At 35.0% G+C, this 22932-nt stretch overlaps 1 long non-coding RNA gene across 1 annotated transcript in view; it reads right to left on the bottom strand.

The window, feature by feature from the left end:
* LOC105374685 (uncharacterized) overlaps window positions 1-22932 on the bottom strand; it is a 63568-nt gene that overhangs the window by 31722 nt on the left and 8914 nt on the right. The window contains exon 2 of the long non-coding RNA XR_925848.3: window positions 20644-20783. This is a non-coding gene — a long non-coding RNA (uncharacterized LOC105374685). The remainder of the gene's footprint in view (window positions 1-20643; window positions 20784-22932) is intronic.

Below are 22932 nucleotides of genomic sequence, written 5' to 3'. Positions count from 1 at the left end.
ATGAAAGTGCTACACTAGAATATATTCAAATAATGGAAATGAATGCAGTAAAGGAAGGATAAAGAAACATACGAGACAAAGAAAACAAAAGCGTAAAATAGCAGATGTAACCATATCAATTAAAGTATTAAATGAGAATGAATTAAACAACAAAGTCAAAAGGCAGAGACTCTAAGACTGGATAAATATCAAGTTCCATATACATGCTTTTTATAGGAGACATGTTTTAGAGTCAAAGTTCCAAATATTTTGAAAGTAAAAGAATATAAAAATATACATCATGCAAAGGACATCCTTAAGTAAACTGGAGTGGCTATATTAATTTGAGTCAATAGACATTACAAAAATTAATGTTACTAGAGATAAAGAAGGACATTTTAAAATAATAAATGTATCAATCCTTCAGGAAAAATAATAACAATCATAAATTTGTATCTACAGAACGACGGAGTTCTAAAATACATGAAGTAAAGCTGATATAATTGACAGAAATAAACAAGTTAACACGGACAGTTTGAACTTCACTTCCTCTTTTTCAGTAACTGACAGAAGAACTAAAAAGGTCAAGAGAAAATAACCTACTTGAACACACTATAAACCAACTATACTTAGCAGATATCTATAGAAGATGGCACTCAACAATATTAGAATATATATATAATTTTTCCCCTCAAAAACACATTAATATGATTAATGATAGAACTCTTGATAGGCTATAAAATAATTCTCAAAAAGTTTAAAGGATTGAGATAATATAATATTCTCTGATCACTTGTAGTAGAATTAGAAATCTATAATAAAAGAAAATTTGAAAAAAAAATCCCAAACATGTGAACATTACAAAACAAATTCCTAAGTAACCAATGTATTAAAGAGGAAGTCACAAGGAAAATTAGAAAATACTTTAAAATGAGAGCAAATTAAGACAAACATGCCACAAATTAATAGTGCTTAGCTAAATCAGTGCTTAGAGAGAAATATATAACTTTAAATGCCTAAATTTGAACAATCTCAAAGAAATAACCTCACCTTTCATCTTAAGACCATATAAATAGAAGAGCAAATGAAACCCAATATAAGTAGATGGGGAGAAATGGTAAATATTGAAATAAATTAATTAAATAGAGAATATAAAAACAGGGAAAATCAACTACATCAAATGTTGGCTATTTAAAAATATAAACTAAGTTGACAAGCTTTTAGACTGACCAAGAGGAAAAGAATAAAGATTCAAATTAAAGAGGGCATTACAATCAACCTTGCAGAAAGAAAAACAACAAGGAAGTGCTAAGAGTAACTGTGTGACTACTATTAGACCATTCCTAGAAATACACGAACTGTCCAAAGTAACTCAAGACAAAATAAAGTACCTGAACTTCTTTACTTATATAACAGGTGTTTTGGTTTGAGTGTGTACCCTTCAAAATTCAGATGTTAAAATTTAATGTGATGGTATTTAGAGGTGAGTCCATTAAGAGGTTCTCCTCACATGTCTGTCCCCTTTAGAGAATACAAGCCTCACCAGACAACCAAATCTACTCATGCCTTGATATTGGACTTCCTAGCCTCCAGAGCTCTGAGGAGATAAATTTCTGTTCTTTATAAATTATCTAGTCTGTGGTATTCTGTTATAGTGGTGCAAACAGACAAATAAAGAAATTGAATTAGTAAAATTAAATAAATAAATAAATTCTACCGATATAAAAAAGCCCACATGTGGATGTATCCCTGGTGAATGTTACCACACATTTAAAGAATAATTGATAGCTGTTCTTCACAAAGTCTTCCAAAAAATGGAACTCGAGGAAACATTCTGTAATTCACTCTATCATCAAAATTTATTGGATTACCCTGAAACCAAAATAACACAAAGACACAAGGAAAGGACACAGCGTGACAGCTCTTATAAATACACATACACAAATTCTTAACAAAATAATAATAAACTCATTCAGTAAATATAATAGGATTACAGACTATAACAAAATATGATTTATCCATGCAAGATTGGTTTAACATTTAAAAATCCACTAATATAATATGCTATATCAATAGAATAAAAGAAAACAAATCATTTTCTCAATGGATGCACAAAATACTATTTTAAAAACGCAGCACTGTTTCAAGAGAAAAAACACTCAGCAAACTAGAAATAAAAGGAAACTCCTCCATCTGATAAAGAACATCTCATCTACAATAAACCCACAGCTAACATAAATACTTAATTGTGTAAGACTGAAGGCTTACACAATCACTACCATTTTACTATCAAGAGCTGGACAAGGATGCCCACTTGCATTAATTGTGTAAACATTGTACTGAAAGTTCAACCTAGAGTTAATTAGTTAAGAATATGTAATAAAATATATCAATATTAATCCATGTTCCTAGTTATGTGTTAGTGTATTGGTCAAGCATCTTAGCTACAAACAGAATCCACTGTAGCTAAGTTAAGCAGGAAGTAAATTATTAAACAAAATATATCATTTGAAGATGCTATAGAAGTAGTCTCTAAGATGAGCTTTCAAGCACATTTTTATTAAAACCCTACATAGCTAGCCTGATTAAAAGTTGCAATCCCACATACACATAAACAAGTAAATTAATTGTTGTGAAGTTTCCTCATGAAAGCTTCCAAGGACATTTTGAGACAGCTCTCTTATCTTACAAGCATGTGCTTCTGCAAGGAAAAAAAATATATAAAAAGGGAAAAATAAGGAAGGAATCAAGGGTGAATGTGATGGACAGACTCAGAGGTGGTCCCTCATGATCCCAGGCTTAGTGCTATGCCACTGTGTTTCCCTTCTCCTTGAGTTTGGGCAGGATCTGTGGCTTGCTTCTAAACAATAGAACACAGCAAAGCTCTTGTGATGTTACTCACATGACAAGGTTACTTTTATACATTCAAGACTCTTTCCTGCTAACAGATTCTCATTAGAAACACTCCTTGCTGTCTTGATGAAGTAAGCAGACATGTTGGAAATCCACATGTAAAGATCTTCTAGGAACAGCAGACAGCCTCTAATAACTGAGGGTCACCTCCAGCTGACAGCCAGCAAGAAACCAGTGTTGTCAATCCTATAACTACAAGGAAATGAACGCTGCCAAGAACTCGAAGAGCCTGGAAGTGGATCCTTGACAAGTCAAGTCATGAGATGACCACAGCCTCAGTCAACACCTTGACTGTAGCTTCGTGAAACCCTAAACAGAAGACTTTGCTAAGCTGTGCCTAGAATCCTGTCTCAGAGAAACTTCAGATAATATATTTGTGTTGTTTTAAGCCACTAAATTTGTGGATATTTGTTACGTAGCAATGAAATACTAATGCAGGAAGTAAAAGAAAATCACTAAAATATACCATTTCTTAAATAAATAATGAACATAAAAGATACACTCTTAACAATCTGGAATTTAAGACAAGTAAATATTAAGCCAGGATAAATGGGAGGGTGAGGACTTATCAGAGAGAGATAAAAGTGTGCTATAATACTTATATTGCTTAGGAAGAAAATATAGATACTGGTAAGCTTTATGCATACATAGGAAAATATTACTGTGGTAATTAGTAATTTATAAGTAAATATTAAAAGAAATGTACATGTACAACTATCAATCAGTTAAAACAAAGTTAGAAACTTCTTTCAATGTAAGAAAAAAATCAGGAAAAAAATGAAGAAATAAAAGCATGAAAAATAGTATTTACAAAATAAGATGTCAGTACCTGAGTCCTAACATCAACAATTAAAACAAATATAAATGTATTAAGAGATTAAAAATGTGATAGTCTTAGGTGTTACAAAACCAACATGAAAAGACCTGGTGCTATGTTATTTTAGGAGACATGCTTAAAACTAATGAACAGAGCTAATGAAGATAGATAATGAAGGTAGATAATAGACAGACAATAGAAAAAGATAGATAATAGGAGATAGGTAATATGTGATAGATATACAAGGAATAGATGCACCAAAAGAAAGCTGGAAAAGAAATTATAATGTAAGACAAAATAATGAAAAAAATATTAAAAGGTAAAATGGATAATATCTGATGTTTGTGAAAGGAAGACTAAACTAAGTTGGCACAACCCTTCTGAACATGTGTGTCTATAACACCATAGTCCTGAAAAAGGTGAACTATCAGAAAATATAGAAAAATATTAAAATCTATAAATTGAAGATGAATGTATTTTAGTAATACAATGATATATGATATTCAAATCACATTATTAGCAAGCTTGACTAAACAGATGTAGATAGGACTTTGACGTAAAAATAAGTTAGAACAAAAATCATTTGTTATAAAGCATTCATTGGATGGTCATACATGTTGATTTGACCCGAGGTCAAATAATTCAATAAAGGATCATATGTTACATTTATGGGTCATGTCTTGCTTGTCTTGTTCAAGTCGAAAAATTCTAAGACTTTCCTTGATTTTTATAATGTTGTGATTTTCCAAGATACTCACATGTTTTGTTTTATCTGATGCTTTATCATAATTATATTCAGATTATGCATTTTTTGTCAAGAATATCATGTCATCCTTTCAAGTGATATACAATTTTGATTTCTCACATTAGTGATGTGCTAATTTTGATCACTTGATTTGGTGAAGTAAGCCAAGTTTCTCCACTGTAAAGTAATTGCCTCTTTGTAATTAAAAAGTGCTTTGTGGAAATTATTTTGAGACTATCCAGTATTCAATTTGTATGAAACTTCTACTCACAGTATATTCATTCACTGACATTTTGTACCACCAATAATCATTCCAATAGTTATCAGGTGGTGATTTTTTAATTCCAACATTTCTTCTAAATTTTTCAGTTGTCTTCTTACTTAAGAAAGAGCATTCTCTTCTACCTATTTATATATTAAGATATTTATTATATAATTTTAAATACATTGAGCTATTCTCCTAAAGAACCCTGATTGTTTCTAGTGGAGAATAAAATTAGAGTCCATGATTTCAGTGCTAATTATGTTCCTGGCTCTCTCACTTTCTCAAAGAACAGAGAGTTAGGAAACACACACATACAGATTTACAGTTATAATTATTTCTATATCTATTTATCTAATCTATTTATCCATCTATTTAAGAATTATCTATCAAAAACAAAATTCACAATATCTCAAATTTAATTTCCAATCCTACAACAGAGAGAATATTCTAGCTTTCTGTTTTCCATTTTTGTATCCTCTGACACTATAGGAGTACTATGTTGGAACTCACTGCTCTCTCTAAAATAAATTTTTCACAAATAAATACTTCATTAATTTTCAAAAGTTTGAAATTTTCACCCTCCTGATATGGGTTAGTCATCTAAACAAAATTGACTTAATTTTAAATTTGTGACGGCCTGTATTCTAACTCACTTTTAGTATCTAATGTCATTCAACTTCATGTTACCCAAAACTTACATTTTAGTTCCTATTACATTTTACTTTTTATTGAAATATTGAAAAAAAAACCTCATGTTTACTTTATGAATTATTTTTTTAAATAGAAAAATTTGAGGTAGACTATCTGAGAAATGTCAGATATAATCGCTTTACAGCTTATTATGTTCTGAGAGGCTGAACTCTATGAATACTCTTAAATGCATTAGTGGAATAACATCAGATTACCAGTAATTGTATTCTCTGTTTCTATTTTTCCTGCATAATACCACCTTATATAACCTTTTATGATTTGGTTCAAATTAGATTTGAGTTATAACTGCAAAGTTCTTGATATGGTTTGGCTGTTTGTCCCCACCCAAATCTCATCTTGAATTGTACTCCCATAATTCCCATGTGTTATGGGAGGGACCCAGTGGGAGATAATTTGAATCATGGGGACGGTTTCCCCAACTCTATTCTCATGATGGGTTTATCAGGGGTTTCCGATTTTGCATCTTCCTCATCTTCTCTTGCTGCCACCAGGTAAGAAGTGCCTCTTGCCTCTTGCCATGATTCCGAGGCCTCCCTAGCCATGTAAAACAGTACATCCAATTAAACCTTTTTGTCTTCCAATCTCGGGTATGTCTTTATCAGCAGCAGGAAAATGGACTAACACAGTTCTCATACTAAATTGATTAGGGAAGCGACCTAAGAGTTATTCTTTACCTGGATAAATAATGTAGAACACAGACTATGCAACCACACTAGATAATATGCAATTTCTATGTCTCATATATGGGAAAAATCCACAGTTGAATATGCTAATTTTCCCTACCACCAAAAAATGTGGAGGAAAACAGCAAAAATAAAACATTGTTATTTTTCAAATTCTAAATAAGAAGTAATAAAATAACTTTAAATATCAATCAACTTTTTATCACTTTTAAGAATAATTTTTTATTTTTTCAAGCATATTGAAAATCATTACCACTGTCTTTGACCTTCTATTTGCAAATAAATTTATTTTCCAAACTTTCCTAAGTTGTTTTCTTGCAACAGTAATAAAAAAAATGACCTTTGTAAAAGCTTTTCTAGAAGAGGCATCTGACACAAATTACAAAATAATACACATGCTTTCAAATGATAATTGGTATAAAATTTTGTTTAGGCCTATATCATGGATTTGAAGTTTCAATAAACCATTAATGAAGAAGATTTGGGGGGAAATAGGATAAAACTGTTTAAAATATCACTCAAAGTGTGTGTATGGAGAAAAGAGAGAAAACATTACAGATAAATAGCAAGTTTTAACTTCTTTACTGCATGGTCATAAAAGATAAAGGTGGCCCACTTTCCTCTTTCTCTGTACACACATTTTCAGATATCTGGTCTCTGCAGGAGTATAAGTTACCCAAAGTTCAAATCCTGGAATGCAACAGATTTGCCTGATTAAAGGAATAGTAAATAATTAACAATAATAACAAATGCATAAATATTATATATACTATAGATGTGTCATGAATGCTGATTTATCATTCTCTTGTAACATTTCGTTATGCCTGAGTTCCATTATAAAATCAAAATAAATGTTAAGTAATTCTAATTACTTTGTTGCCTCTATGATTCTTGAGGGATTAAAAAATAATTATCATTTAGGCAAATATTATCTTGTGAATAAGTAGAGGGTACAAAAAATAGTTATAAAAACATTCAACAGACAAATTACTATAATCTTCAAAACTGTTGCTGAGGTGATATAAATGTGGGAAAAAATAATGGAGGAAGTTAGAGTATTAAGAGTATTCTTGCTAAGACCTTTTAACATTCTATGATTTTTCTAATTTTCTGATTGTATAATTCTAAGTAATGAATGTATTTTAAAGTTAAGCAAAGTCATTTATTATGATTATATAGTTCAAATCATAAATGAATTTAGAGTGTTGATTCATATTGTATTTTGGGTGTTATGTATTATTTCCCAAAGTTAATGGACCCAAAGCCTTCATAGAATGGTTTTATCATGGTGAATCTATCATGAGCCAGAATCTGTTCTGAACTGTCACAATGCTTATATGGTGCATTCTTCTTTCTAAATCACATTCATATTAACCGTATTCACAGAGACTGGTACAAGAAAAACTTAAAGTACAGAGTTAATGATCAAATTATTTAATAATCAATACATCATGGGTACAAAACAATAAAATGGGAACCAGTATTGGTGTAAATCATTGATGACTTGCCTGCACTGAGAACCTGAAAACAAGCTTAGTAGATCCAACTTATTGTCATGGTAGGCAACCTAAAGGGGGAGCCAAATTATAATTAGAATGTTATTTGGATAGAGTGTAATAAAATAAAGGGAGTTAGCTCATCACTCAAAGATGGTTGACATTGCCAGCAGTCAACTAGTATTTCTCCCAGGATGCCGTCCACATATGCCAGTGCTCTCATGCCACCTCACTCCACCTCAGAGCAGAGAGAAGGCTTTGAGCAGAGACAATATCGTTAGGCTAAAGATGAGTCGGTTACATTCATAGAACTCACAGACAGGTTATCATAGCTTTCTCAGGTGGTCCAAACTAATTATACATACTTACATGTGGAGAATGTTTCCCAGTTTTGTTCAGAGAGTGAAGAATGTGATGATGAAAGAATGGTCAGAGAGATCCAGCTTTGCTGGTTTTGAAGAAGGCGGAAGGAGGCCATGAGAAAAGGAATGTGGGCAGCCTTTTGAAATTAGAAAATGGATTTCCTTCCAGGACCCTCAGAAAGTCTCACTGCCTTACCAACACCTCGATTTTAGTTCAATGAAACTTAGGATAGATGCATAATACCATAAAATAATGAATTTATGTTGATTTAAGTCACTAAATTTGAGTAATTTGTTACCGCGACTATAAACAACTGGTACAAATGTAAATAGTAATCATGGGTACAGATGTAAAGGCAAATGGTAAGCTCTCTATGTAGCTAAAGTGTCAATGAATTAAAATCTAAGTTCAAAAATATGTGCAGCAGGAATAAAGAAATATAAAAGGTGAAACAAAAGATGTTAGAATAGAATGTTAAAGTGAAACGTATCTTAAAATTATGGAGATGTATATATGTATTCTTCAAATTATTATATAGAACTATAAGCACTCCTTAAACTTTTTAGGTGCAAGTGACAGTGAGTAGGTAAGTTGTATAAGTTTTAATTCTCTCGTGAATAAAATGGTGATAATAGTGCTATCTCTTCAAAGTTGTCATAATGAAGAATAAATGATCTATGTCAGTACAGTAGCACATTTACTGGCACATAGATATAATATGCTAATATTGTAAACAAAATGCTTATGTGCTGTATATAATTCATTACATAGTGGTTTCCAAAGTCTCATCAGCTCTAGATAACATCAATGGAAAGTACATTTTATGTTTATAATCTCATGCCTATCTAATTAATCCCTTTAAGTATCCTGTGTCTAAGGTAGTAAACTAAACTCACCTCCAGACTCTTTAAAGCCCAAAGTTCAGAAATAATAATTTTTAAATGGGACTATAAAAACACATGTCCCCAGAATTTTAATAACAAAATTTAATTGCAACAATCACATTGGTTTAAAAAAATTATTTAAAAATATAGGTTCCTTTATATCTATAACTATATATCAACATTGTCTTCAATGAACGGAAAAATTAACCTTTGAACTCAAAATATTTCTTGTTTTACATTCTTGAATCAACCTATTCATTGGCGCAGGTCTTATTTATAGGATTAGACTATTTTATCCAACAATCCCTGTGGTCAAAGTATAACATAATAACTTCCCATTTTTAAATTCCAGGCAAAACTGCACTGTTTATCCTATTTTAGATAGCCTATTATCTTATGGTACAAGGCACAGAGTTAAAAATAAACTTGCTATCAACAATTTGACTGAGGTATTTGTTCCCTACCAGACATTATTAAAAGAAACCTTCCTACTACATGTTAAATAAAGCCTCTGCAAAGATTGAATTTTGGAAAAAAAAGAAATGACCTGATTAAAATTCCATAATGAACAATGAAAAAACTCTGCCTATATTAAACGTCAAACTCCCTGAAGGATAAGCTCGAGAAGCCACTGAGAAGTGGGTGCTCCTAGTTTACAGGAGCTATTATCTTCCCATTAATTTCAATACAAGAGAAACGTTGTTAGTCTAAAGACAAGTTCAAGTGGAAATTTTATCGTTGTTGCTTGTGTAGCTAAAACGTTCACTTTCTTAATGCCTTCAGTTGAGCTATGGCCAGGAGTACATAAAAAATTACCTCCTAGATGTAAAAACAAAGTCAGCAGAACAAGAACAACCAAAGAGCCTTTGTCTGATGTCTCTAGGAAGCATTCCGGATATCTCTCCTCTTCTTTGCTTAGTTCCCTTGTGTTACAACGCAGAATTCACAAAGAAGAGCCTACCTGCCCTTGTAAGAATAGGCTGGAAACCCCCACAATTAAGTGAACAAACCGTTAAAAGCTGAAAAACATAAATTATTAAGTTGCCATGATCACGTGAAAGTTGCAGATACCTGGGTAAAATCACTTTTGTCAGATCCCGACAAAAGAGGGACTGGAAAGCCCGAAGGAGAGGTGGCTCATGCTTACGTATCTAAGTAAGAACTATTTCCAAAGACTTTCTAAAAAGCCTTTTGAGTCCTTCACACATCTCATGCTTCGATAAGACAGTCTTTAGGACTGCAGTAATTCAGAGACATTCTCAGAACACTTGCCCAGTAACGGCATCTCCACCAATGAGCAGACAACTCTGACTTCGAACCTCTGAAACCAACGAGCTCTTTCTAAGCAGCTATGTAACTCTCTTTTCACCAATGAAAGCTCCCCTTACCTTTCCTTCCCCAAATGCACTGGTGGCTTAGCCCTTCATGCATTCCAGGTTATATTTCTTGTTTTTATTTCTGAGTAAACACAACATATTTAGAGACAATTTTCTCTAGTGTATTATTATTATTATTAGGGTGGCAACAAGACATGTAAAGAATGTAAAGAGGCTTTCACTAATTTGTCGTGTGTCCTTTAACCAGGGAGAGCCAGCACTGCTGAGGCTACTTTCCCACCAAATGCAAGTCTGCATGAGGCAAAGCCACTTTCCGCAGACACCTGTGGCTCTCTCAAAGTTTTACTTCTGGGCATGTGAGCATGTCCTTTACCTGCTTAGGATACTCTTGGAATGTTGTAGAAGTAATGGATGTTGGAGAAGTGAAAGATGTTTTTCTAATAGTTCTTCAACAGTAAGTGGAGTTTTCAGCTTGTATGGAGGTGAATGGTATTTCTAACTTATTTTTTGATGCAGAAAATCATGATGGAATACTATGCAGCCACAGAGGCCATCAACTCTTCAACTAATGGCAGATGGAGTGTGTTCCTTGACCCCATGAGGGGCTTAGGTATTTGCTACATTTCCCTGAGCTCGCTAGCAGGACCAATAGCAATAATTTGTTTGGTAACATATACTCTATTGAGTTTTTGCCTATTACATATCATTTTTACACTCTCCTCTATTGTCGCCTGCATTCCATCCAAATAAATTACTTGCACTCAAACCATTGTCTCAGTTTCTACTTCTAGAGGAACTCAGCCTAAGAAACCTGACAATAGCATTAATCCTCCTCAAATGGTTCCACTAAGATTTTCCACTAATGTTGTTTTTCCTTGAAATACTGAAAACATGACCTGTAAATTATACATAAAATTATTTAGGTGTAACTTTGCTCATTTAGTCCAAAATATGCTTTTTCTTTTTCCTTCAGCATTTAGAAGAAACCATTCCTTTGTTGAGCATCAGAGGAAATAATCAACTTTCATTGGAGAGACATATTATATAAAAGAAGTACCTTTATTTATTTTATTTTATTTATTTATTCTTTTGAAATGGAGTTTCACTCTTGTTGCCCAGGCTGGAGTGCAATGGTGCGATCTCAGCTCACTGCCATCTCCACCTCCCAGGTTCAAGTGATTCTCCTGATTCAGCCTCCCAAATAGCTGGGATTACAGGTGTGCACCACCATGTCCAGCTAATTTTGTATTTTTAGGGTTTTCACCATGTTGCTCAGGCTGGTCTCAAACTCCTAACCTCAACTGATCCACATGCTTCAGCCTCCCAAAGTGCTGGGACTACAGGTGTGAGCCACCACACCAGGATCCAGAAGTATCTTTAAGACCTGGAATCCTGTGCAGCATGGTGAAATGTTTACACTGTTCAAAATATAAATAAAATGAGGCCAACTAAGGGAACAAATTATTAGAATGCCTTTCTCATATGCAAGCTATAGAGTAATTGAGTGATGGGGCAGATGGAATCTTCCACACTATTTACCCCACTCTGTTTTACTCTTTCCAGTGAAACAAAGTGTTTATTTGATTTGATCAAGAAAGAAAAATGGAGGGATATTTTTCTAACAGCTCTCCAACAGTAAGGAAAGTTTTTAGCTTGTATGAAGCTGAATGGTATTTCTAATTTATTTTTTGGTAGATAAAATCATGATGGAATACTATGCAGTCATAAAAAAGAACAAAATCATATCCTTTGTAACAAGATGGATGCAGCCGGAGGCCATTAGCCCAACTGAATTCCCACAGGAACAGAAAACCAGATACCACATGTTCTCACTTATAAGTGAAAGCTAAACATTCAGTTCATATGGACATAAGGATGGGAACAACATGGCTGGGCCTGTTGGCTCACACTCCCAACATTTTGGAGTCCAAGATGGTAGGATCACTTGAACCCAGGAGTTCAAGACATGCCTGGGCAACATAGAGAGACACTGTCTCTACAAAAATAAAAATAAAATATTAGCCAGGCACGGTGATGTATGCCTGTGGTCCCACCTACTCAGGAGGCTGAGGTGGGAGGATTGAGGCTGTAATGAGATGTAATCTTACAACCGTACTCCAGCCTATGTGACAGAGTGAGACTCTATTTCAAAAAATAATAAAATAAAGTAAAATAAGGAAAACAGCAGACACTGAGGACTAATAGGGGAAGGAGGGTGGGGGGGACTAGGGTTGAATTACTATTCTCACTACCTGAATAATGGGACCATTAGTACCAAACCCCAGCTTTCTGTGATATACCCACATATGAAACCTGCATGTATACCCCGAACCTAAAATAAAAGTTGAATTTTTTTTTTAAATAAAACATTATGGTCCTTTCAAAATATGTTATGAAAGAATTAAGCAGTCTTGATTCAGTTTTCATGGATTACATGATATCCTTTAACTCTTCACAATGACTTACACTGAAGTGGTCTGGCCTCTTTATGAGATTAGTGCGTGTAGTTTACTCCCTGAAACAGTCTGAGAATATTCTAGAACTCTTAGAATTAACGTTACAATTGCCAAATTCCCAGTTGACAAATGACAACTTAAAGGAAACAGACTTTGGACAAACAGTAGTAAAGGAAGTATATGATAAGCATATCTATATTTCCAAAAATAAATAAACAAATGAGGTGTGAATTAGCCAGGCCTTCAAAGAATGAGGACTATGGTAATATGCATATATGCTCAGCGGACCTTCTGAATTCAAAAGCAGTCTGAATAAACGGTCAATTAACTTCAAGGGAAAGGCTTATAGTCAAATTGTAGTCTCCCCCATTTCCAAGACACTTCAATATAGAGTGGGGATGTATATTGCTTTTTCTTTCTATGTAAATACTTTATTGTTTCATTAGCTACCTAGATTTGAAATGGTGTATGAACACAAGTCACTGAAATGATGCTTAATGAGCTGATATTGTAAAAATGCAGACTAGAAAGGGAAAAAAGTAAAAGGACTACAGGGGACTTGTTTTCTTACAGGAAACCACATTTTCTTCTTCACTGTTTTTATGATATTAGGCAATTCTTTGTTTAGAGTCCCTCTGACAAATTATTCTTATTTCTGTAACTATTTCTAGAGGTAGCAGTGTGGCATAGCTTTACAGTCATAAAATGTAGCCTCACAAGAAAGGGATATAAGCATTTCCTGAACATCTACTATATCTCAGAATCTATGTTAGGTGTTTTACATTTATTATCTAGTTTAATTTGACCTTCAGAGCAACAATATGATGCATTATAAATTGTGGTAAGAGCATATTTGAAAACTGAGTGTTTGGGTTATAATTGTGCCTCCACTTCTAAGGTATGTAATCTTGCGTAAGTCATTTCACTTCTCTGTGATTCAATGATTAAAACTGTAAAAAGAAAAGAGATGGTAACAACGGTACCTACATCATAGAGTTATTAGGGAATTTAAATCAGCTATTTTTAAAAAATGTTTAGATTACCATCTGGCAAATAATAAGCACTAAATAATATTTGTTTTAACCAACAATTTTAAAGTTAACAGGCGATTAAAAGGGTAACCAGAACTGTGTGAATGGGTTATTTTTCTAACTGATGAATCCAGATTAGGATTGACTGTGGATCCATCTGAATAGGTGTCCTTTCCCCCTATATTAAAAAATCATGATGCAGTAAACTGCTCAATGCCCTGCAGGTGAAAAGAAGCAAAAGACAAATTAAAACTCAGTGCCTGTGACATAGAAGACATTTGATGCGTATTTACGTGGGAGATGAATGAGCAAGTAAGTTAATAATGTGTCTGACTTCTGACTCTTTTTATTGTATTAGGTTGCTTCTAGCTCAGGCATATGAATATCAATTTAAGGAAAGCCTTTGGTCTCCCTGTGACATGTCGGATGAGTTGTATCATCTGTCCTATCAACTGCAAGCCTGTTACAGGACTTTGAAATGGTAAATGTGGTGAGGTATAGGAAAGTACTTTAAAAACCATAAAACACCATTTAGGTGTATGTATGCTGTTATCTGGCAGGTGATGTGCTGCATGTTGCAAAACAAACCTAGGATTAAACTTTACTAGTTTTATGACTTTGGTAACTGCCTAAACTCTCTAAACTTCACATATCTCATGGAGAAATGAGTGTAGTAGTTCCTAACTAATAGTGAAAAGTAAATGTGTCAGACAGTGCATATAAAGTCCTTAACTTAAAACTTATCATGGTGTTTATCAGTGCATAAAGTATTATGTGTCAACTAGATCTTCCTATTATCATATTATTGTTGTTATCATTATTGTATTTTTAGCAAGACACATTTGTAGGTAGCATTTCTTCTGAGAAATAGCAAATATCAGGCATACTACTAGGTCCCCACCCTGTGACAATGGCAGATGTTGCTAATTCACAATAACCTTTCTCTTCCTGCTGTATCAGGCAGCCACTACTGACTGAAATGATAAATGGGATGCAAGTTATGTGCTGCCATTCTCTCTTAAGTTTATTTTTGTAGACTGCATTAAATATGGACAATGAAGATCATGAATGACTCAAATGCAATTTTTATAACATTCATGGTTTCTTTAATAATCTAATCTTGAAGATACACTTTTGATGTAGAAGTGGAGTCCACCAGTAACTATTAGAAAATAGCAACTTTGAAAGTTTGTCTCATTTAATCCTTTTACATATCTATAATAATTATTATTTCAAGACCAGAAAACTGGTACTCAGAAAGGTAAATAACGCAACAAAAGTCACACAGCAATCACATATTGGAGCAAGGGACCTGAGTCCCATAATTACAAAAAACACAAAATAGCAAGTTTTCATATAACTGGAAGATTCCTAGGGGAGGAGGAAAGCCGTGCTTACTCACTGAGACTGCAAAACCCAATTCAAATCTAATCTCCTTTCCTGCAGCCTTATCTACATATCTCAATGTTTAATTCTCTTTTCAACATTTTTTTCATTTAAATATCATTCAGCTATTACTTTAATAAAAGCATCTTAAGTCACAGTCTCATAATGAGATAAGATTTACTTATAATAATTCTAGTAGAGGAAAGTGCCATAAATATATGGGGTTATATTAAAACATTCTCAAAGAATTCAGAGACAAGAAATGTCATTTTCACTTGTTTCATTGGAATTTTCGTTGTATAGAAAGTGATATTCAAACTGAGCTAAGAAGACAACAAAGGCGTGAAAAAGAAGGGGTTTATGCAACAGTGGAGTGTATTTAGTTTTTCTAGGTGATATGGTTTGGATCTGTGTCCCCATCCAAAACTCATGTTGAATTTGTGAACCTAGAAAATCTGAGAGAGGTCTCAGCTAATTTAGAAAGTTTATTTTGCCAAGGTTGAGAACATGCACCCATGACTAGCTGCAGGAAATCCTGACAACATGTGCCCAAGGTAGCCGGGGTGCAGCTTGGTTTTATACATTTTAGGGAGGCATGAGATATCAATCAAGTACATTTAAGAAATACATTGGTTTGATCCAGAAAGGCAGAACAAGTCAAAGTGGGGGCTTCCAGGCTACAGGTAAATTTAAACATTTTCTGGTTGACAATTGGTTGAGGAGTGTATCTAGAGAACTGGGATCAACAGAAAGGAATATTTGGGTTGAAATAAGAGGTTGTGCAGACCAAAGTTTTATCATGCAGATGAAGCTTGAAGCTAGCAGGCTTCAGAGAGAAACAGGCTGTAAAATGTTTCTTATCAGACTTAATGTCTGTGTTGATGTGAATGACGGAGAGGTTTAATAAGGCATGTCTGACCCCCGCTTCCCTTCATGGCCTGAACCAGTCTTTCAGGTTAAATTTTAAGAGCCCTGGCTGAGAAGGTAGTCCTTTTAGATAATTTTTTTTTGGAGGGGTGCCTTAGAATTTATCTTGGTTTAAATTCTCCTTCTTCTGGCCAAGATTTGCCAGAGGCAGCATCAAAGGCCAGCAATACTTATACTGTCCCATAGCATTGGCAGAGTGGCATGACTGCCTACTCTGGGTCCACGTTGTCCCTTGGTGGGACTCCCTATGGCTGAGGGCTTTAAGAATCAAAAGACTTATAGCCAATTAATTGTTGTAGGTCAGATACAACTGGATGTGGACAGGCATTCATTTACCTCTTAAAATTGTTATTTTAGGAGGTGGCTATCAAGATGGCCAAATTGGAACAGCTCTGGTCTGCAGCTCCCAGCAAGAGCAATGCAGAAGGCAGGTGATTTCTGCATTCCCAACTGAGATACCCAGCTCATCTCATTGGGACTCGTTAGACAGTGAGTGCAGCCCACGGTGGGCAAGCTGAAGCAGTGTGGCCATCGCCTCACCTGGGAAGCTGAAGGGGTTGGGGATCTCCCTCCCATAGCCAAGGGAAGTAGTGAGGGACTGTGCCGTGAGGGACTGTGCCGTGAGGAACAGTGCATTCTGGCCCAGATACTACACTTTCCCCATGGTCTTTCTAACCTACAGACCAGGAGATTCTCTAGGGTGCCTATGCCACCAGGGCCTTGGGTTTCAAGCACAAAACTGGGTGGCTATTTGGGCAGACACCAAGCTAGCTGCAGGAGCTTTTTATTTTTTTATTTTTTGTTTTTTCATACACCAGTGGCACCTGGGATGCCAGCAAGAGAGAACTGTTACTCACTTGGAAAGGCGGCTGAAGCCAGGGAGCCAAGTGGTCTAGCTCAGTGGAGTCCACCCCTCCAGAGCCCAGTAAGCTAAGATCCACTAGCTTGAAATTCTCGCTGCCAGCGCACCAGTCTGAAGTCGACCTGGGATGCTAGGGCTTGGTGTGGGGAGGGGCACTTGCCATTACTGAGGCTTGAGTAGGTGGTTTTCCCCTCACAGGGTAAACAAAGCCTTTGGGAAGACACAACATACCCGAATCTCTGGGACACAGCTAAAGCAGTGTTTAGAGGGAAATTTATAGCACTAAATGCCCATAGGAGAAAGTGGGAAAGTTCTAAAATCAGCACCCTAACATCACAATTAAAAGAATTCAAGAAGCAAAAGTAAACAAATTCAAAACCTAGCAGAAGAGAAGAAAGAAGTAGGATCGGAGCAGAACTGAAGGAGATAGAGACACAAAAATCCCTTCAAAAAATCAATGAATCCAGGAGCTGGTTTTTTGAAAAGATTAACAAAATAGATAGACTGCTAGCCAGATGAATAAAGAAGAAAAGAGAGAAGAATCAAATAGACACAATAAAAATGATAAAGGGGATATCACCACTGATCCCACAGGAATAGAAACTACTATCAGTGAATACTATAAACACCTCTAGGCAAATAAACTAGAAAATCTAGAAGAAATGGATAAATTCCTGGACACATACACACTCTCAAGACTGAACCAGGAAGAAGTTGAATCCTTGAATAGACCAATAACAAATTCTGAAATTGAGGCAATAATTAATAGCCTACCAACCAAAAAAAGCCCAGGGCCAGATGGACTCACAGCCTAATTCTAGCAGAGGTACAAAGAGGTGCTAGTACCATTCCTTTTGAAACAATAACAATAAAATAAAGAGGGACTCCTCCCTAACACATTTTATGAGGGCAGCATCATCCTGATACCAAAACCTGGCAAAGACACAATAAAAAAAGAAAATTTCAGGCCAATATCCCTGATGAACATTGATGTGAAAATCCTCAATAAAATACTGGCAAACCAAATCCAGCAGCACATTAAAAAGCTTATCCACCACGATCAAGTCAGCTTCATCCCTGGGATGCAAGGCTAGTTCAGCATATGCAAATCAATAAATGCAATCCATCACATAAACAGAACCAATGTCAAAAACCACATGATTATCTCAATAGAAGCAGTAAAGGTTTTCAATAAAATTCAACACCCCTTCATGCTAAAAACTCTCAATAAACTAGGTATTGACAGAACGTATCTCAAAATAATAACTATTTATGACAAACCCACAGCCAATATCATACTGAATGGGCAAAAACTGGAAAACCTTTGAAAACCGGCATAAGACAAGGATGCCCTCTCTCACCACTCCTATTCAACATAGTATTGCAAGTTCTGGCCAGGGAAATTAGGCAAGACAAAGAAATAAAGCGTGTTCAATAGGAAGAGAGGAAGTCAAATTGTCTCTGTCTGCAGATGACATGATTGTCTATTTAGAAAACCCCATCATCTCAGCCCAAAATCTCCTTAAGCTGATAAGCAACTTTAGCAGTCTCAGGATACAAAATCAATGTGCAAAAATCACAAGCATTCCTATACACTAATAACAGACAAACAGAGAATAGATTACCTGGGAATACAACTTACAAGTATGTGAAGGACCTCTTTAAGGTGAACTACAAACCACTGCTCAAGGAGAGGTACACAAACAAATGGAAAAACATTCCATGCTCATGCATAGGAAGAATCAATATGGTGAAAATGGTCATACTGCCCAAAGTAATTTATAGATTCAATGCTATCCCCATCAAGCTATCATTGACTTTCTTCACAGAATTAGAAAAAACTACTTTAAATTTCATATGGAACCAAGAAAAGAGCTTGTATAGCCAAGACAATCCTAAGCAAAAAGAACAAAGCTCGAGACAGCATGCTACCTGACTTCAAACTATACTACAAGGCTACAGTAACCAAAACAGCATGGTACTGGTACCAATGGAACAGAACAGAGGCCTCAAAAATAATGCCACACATCTACAACCATTTGTTCCTTGACAAACTTGACAAAAACAAGCAATGGGGAAAGGTTTCCATATTTAATAAATTGTGTTGGGAAAACTGGGTAGCCATATGCAGAAAACTCAAACTGGACCCCTTCCTAACACCTTATACAAAAATTAACTCAAGATAGATTAAAGACTTAAACGTAAGACCTAAAACCATAAAAAACTCTAGAAGAAAACCTAGGCAATACCATTCAGGACATAGACATTGGCAAAGACTTCAAAACTAAAACACCAAAAGCAATGGCAACAAAAGTCAAATTTGACAAATGGGATCTAATTAAAATAAAGAGCTTCTGCACAGCAAAAGAAACTATGATCAGAGTAAACAGGCAACCTACAGAATGGGAGAAAATTTTTGCAATCTATCCATCTGACAAAGGGCTCATATTCAGAATCTACAAGGAACTAAAACAAATTTACAAGAAATAAACAACCCCATAAAAAAGTGGGCAAAGGACACGAACAGACACTTCTCAAAAGAAGACATTCATGCGGCCAACAAACATGAAAAAAAGCTCATCATCACTGGTCATTACAGAAACACAAATCAAAACCACAAAGAGATACTCTATCTCACACTAGTTAGAATGGTGATCATTAAAAAGTCAGGGAACAACAGATGCTGGAGAGGATGTGGAGAAATAGGAACACTTTTACACTGATATTGGGAGTGTAAATTAGTTCAACCATTGTGGAAGAGAGTATGGCGATTCCTCAAGGATCTGGAACCAGAAATACCATTTGACCCAGCAATCCCATTACTGGGTATACACCCAAAGGATTGTAAATCATTCTACCATAAAGATATATGCGCACATATGTTTATTGCAGCATTATTCACAATATCAAAGACTAGGAACCAACCCAAATGCCCATCAATGATAGACTGGATTAAGAAAATGTGGCACATATACACCATGGAATACTATGCAGCCATATAAAAGGATGAGTTCATGTCCTTTGCAGAGACATAGATGAAGATGAAAACCATCATTCTCAGCAAGCTAACACAGGAACACAAAACGAAACACCATGTGTTCTCACTCATAAGTGGGAGATGAAAAATGAGAACACATGGACACATGGAGGGGAACATCACACACTGGGGCCTGTTGTGGGGTGGGGGGACTAAGGGAGGGATTGCATTAGGAGAAACACCTAATATAGATTATGAGTTGATGGGTGCAGCAAACCACCATGGCACGTGTATACCTGTGTAACAAACCTGCACGTTCTACACATATATCCCAGAACTTAAAGTGTAATATAAAATATTGTTATTTTAAGTAAAAAGCCAACAAACAAAACCAAAAGGCAAAATTATGAGACTGACTTATTTCTAACCTCTATGTGTTGAGTTACTGTAAACTTGGTTTTTGGTACAGACTTATGGCAATTATCTATATACAAAATAAGCATTGTTCTGAAAATAATTAAAAAATATATATATATTTATCTTCTTAACTTATAAGTAGAATATTATACCCAGGAAGCTTTGTTACAAGGTATTTTTACCCTGTAAAGAAATGTTTTTCTTTAATTCTATAGTAAGCAGGAAATTCTCTGTGGTTGGGGTGGATGCAAAGTTGATACATAATTGTTTAGAAGGCAACTAAACTTGTTTTACTAGTTGTTTAGGCATATTTGTACCCCTTCTTGATTTGGAGGGTTTGATCTTGACCTAATTTTATCCCTCAAAACTGGCCCTTATAATCTTATGCACCCACCTCTTCTGCAGTATCCCCTGGGCCTGGAGGAAGGGTGCTTGTGTGGTTGAGCGGCGGAGCATTCACAGTGAAACTGATCCAGGCCTCCTGGGATGCCAAATGAGGGAGATTCATGTCTCTGGTATGATGATTTTGGTATCCTGGAAAGTCAAACAAGGAGAGATAAATAACATTTATAATTTGACAATTATAAGACTAATTTGTATGTCAGAACAGGAAAATAAACTATTCCATTAGGGCACCAACTAAAAATATGAAGAAAAATTATAATCTGGTACTCTCTGGAGAATTACTGTAGCCAATAAATAATGATTTATTCTGCACTCAAAAAAAAAAAGTTGGGGCTGAGATTTAGCATTAGGTGTTATGCTTTTCCCTCGAAACAATTTATTGAGCTTTTTTTTAATTAAAGAGATATTATAGCAGGACCATTTTGTGTACAAAATAAGTTTTAGGCTTATTAAATTCAGTCTGATTATTTTGCATAGAATGCAGCAAGAATTGATTGGCCATGGAGGCTTTTTTAAGTTGGCCTTGCCTGAACTTTACCTACAAATACGCTAGTTTAGTTAAAGTCTTAGAAAAATAACTGGTGTCTCCAGTTGTTTCAAAATACTCTCATTGAATTTATGCAGATAACTATATTGTCATAAAATTACAAATTGAATTTTAGAACTTAGACAAAAAGGTAAACTTGCTTATAAAAACATATGTTACCCAAATAACTTAAAAGCAAAATATTTTTTGACCCTTCTTTAACTAGAGCAGCAGCTTTTAAAACAAGACGTTGATTTACCTTGGAAATTCCATTTACAAACCAAGCAGCTCACGAGAAGTGCCTATTAGGCACTGTGGAATTTAGCAGCTCCTCATAATTAGTCTTTGGAAAGAGTCTCCTGCTTATTAGGTAGCAAGATTTTATGTAAACCATTTTTATTTTATCATGGAACTCTTTTGAGAAACTTTGTTTCCATTAGCATAGGGGTAGCTTCAGTTAGTGTTCCATAGCAAGGCAGTAAATGCCCTAAGCAGAAATTCTCTAGTTCAGTCGTTATTGAAAAGTACTCATAATGTTTGGTATCAGCCCTGAAAAAAGCTCCACATAAAGGGCTATGCAGTGGAGATTTGTCCCAACTAGCAGTCGAACTTTTACCCTGTATTTTGTGGGCTCAGGCAATTTACTAGTTCCCATTTAGCATGTGCAATTAACATTTCTTAAAAGAACAAATTTATATGTCTTCAGTTTAGGAAACATCTCCCAGTTAGATATAGTACCCATTTTCGTAAGACTTTTCATAAAGGGGTTACAACTACCTTACATAAAGCTTGTTTAAACATCTTAAATTTCATAATTTTATCAACCTTTATGTTTTTACGTTCTGGGTCCCAGATTATATATATATAACATCTTCAGATAACTATTTTACCTTTTCTGGTGAAAAAAAAAAATAAAAGGATTTGGGTTCCCAGCAGGGAGTTGCATCTGTTAGACCTATGAGGGACAGCAAATTTGATAAGGCTTCTTAAACAGTCCTGTGATTCTATGGGACGGGCACCCATGAAAAAGGGACCCCTTAACCCTCAAATTCACCACGACTTGGGTAATAGACATATTTGGTGGGAGGGTGTTTCAGTTACCATAAAGCTAGTCCAACATGGCTTGCACATGAAGCATATTAACTGCTTCATCTGGGGTGCTTCCCTTAGTATTTTATAGGGAGAGTTGGGTAGTCCCCTTCTCAAAGCAAACAGACCTTACATTGGCATTTATCCAGCCCATTAGGCTGCTTGCTTTTTCAGGAATAATCCCCTGTGCATTTGGATCACATATACTCATCAGTGATTGTTCAGTAGTGAGCTGTGGGTCCTGCATTAATCCAAACCAGCTCTTAAATTCTGTACCATTTAAAATTAAGAAGCTGAATGATATCAATGTATGTAATTATTTATTTATTTATTTATTTATTTATTTATTTTTAACATTATACCCTCTGGTTTTACATAGTTACTTGTTTTACCCTTCCTCCATATCAACTATTTTCTTGGGAACCACAGTGTTCAGAGTAAACTTCCATTGCCCTGGCTTGTTTTTTTCTTTTTTTTTTTTCCCCAATTCAGTTAGTTTTATTTGTATACTTTTCTTCATTATAAAGCAACTCCTCATAATAGTTTCTTAAGCAAAAGGAAACCTGCATTTTTGAATATTGACATCTTTGTGTTTTATACAATTTTACCAAAAGCATATTTTATCTCCTACTTTTTTAACTTTTTAGTAACCCAAATTTCCAG

This window comes from Homo sapiens, chromosome 5, assembly GCF_000001405.40.
Source record: "Homo sapiens chromosome 5, GRCh38.p14 Primary Assembly".
NCBI classification, from domain to species: domain Eukaryota; kingdom Metazoa; phylum Chordata; class Mammalia; order Primates; family Hominidae; genus Homo; species Homo sapiens.
This window is presented reverse-complemented; position numbering and strand designations above follow the sequence as displayed.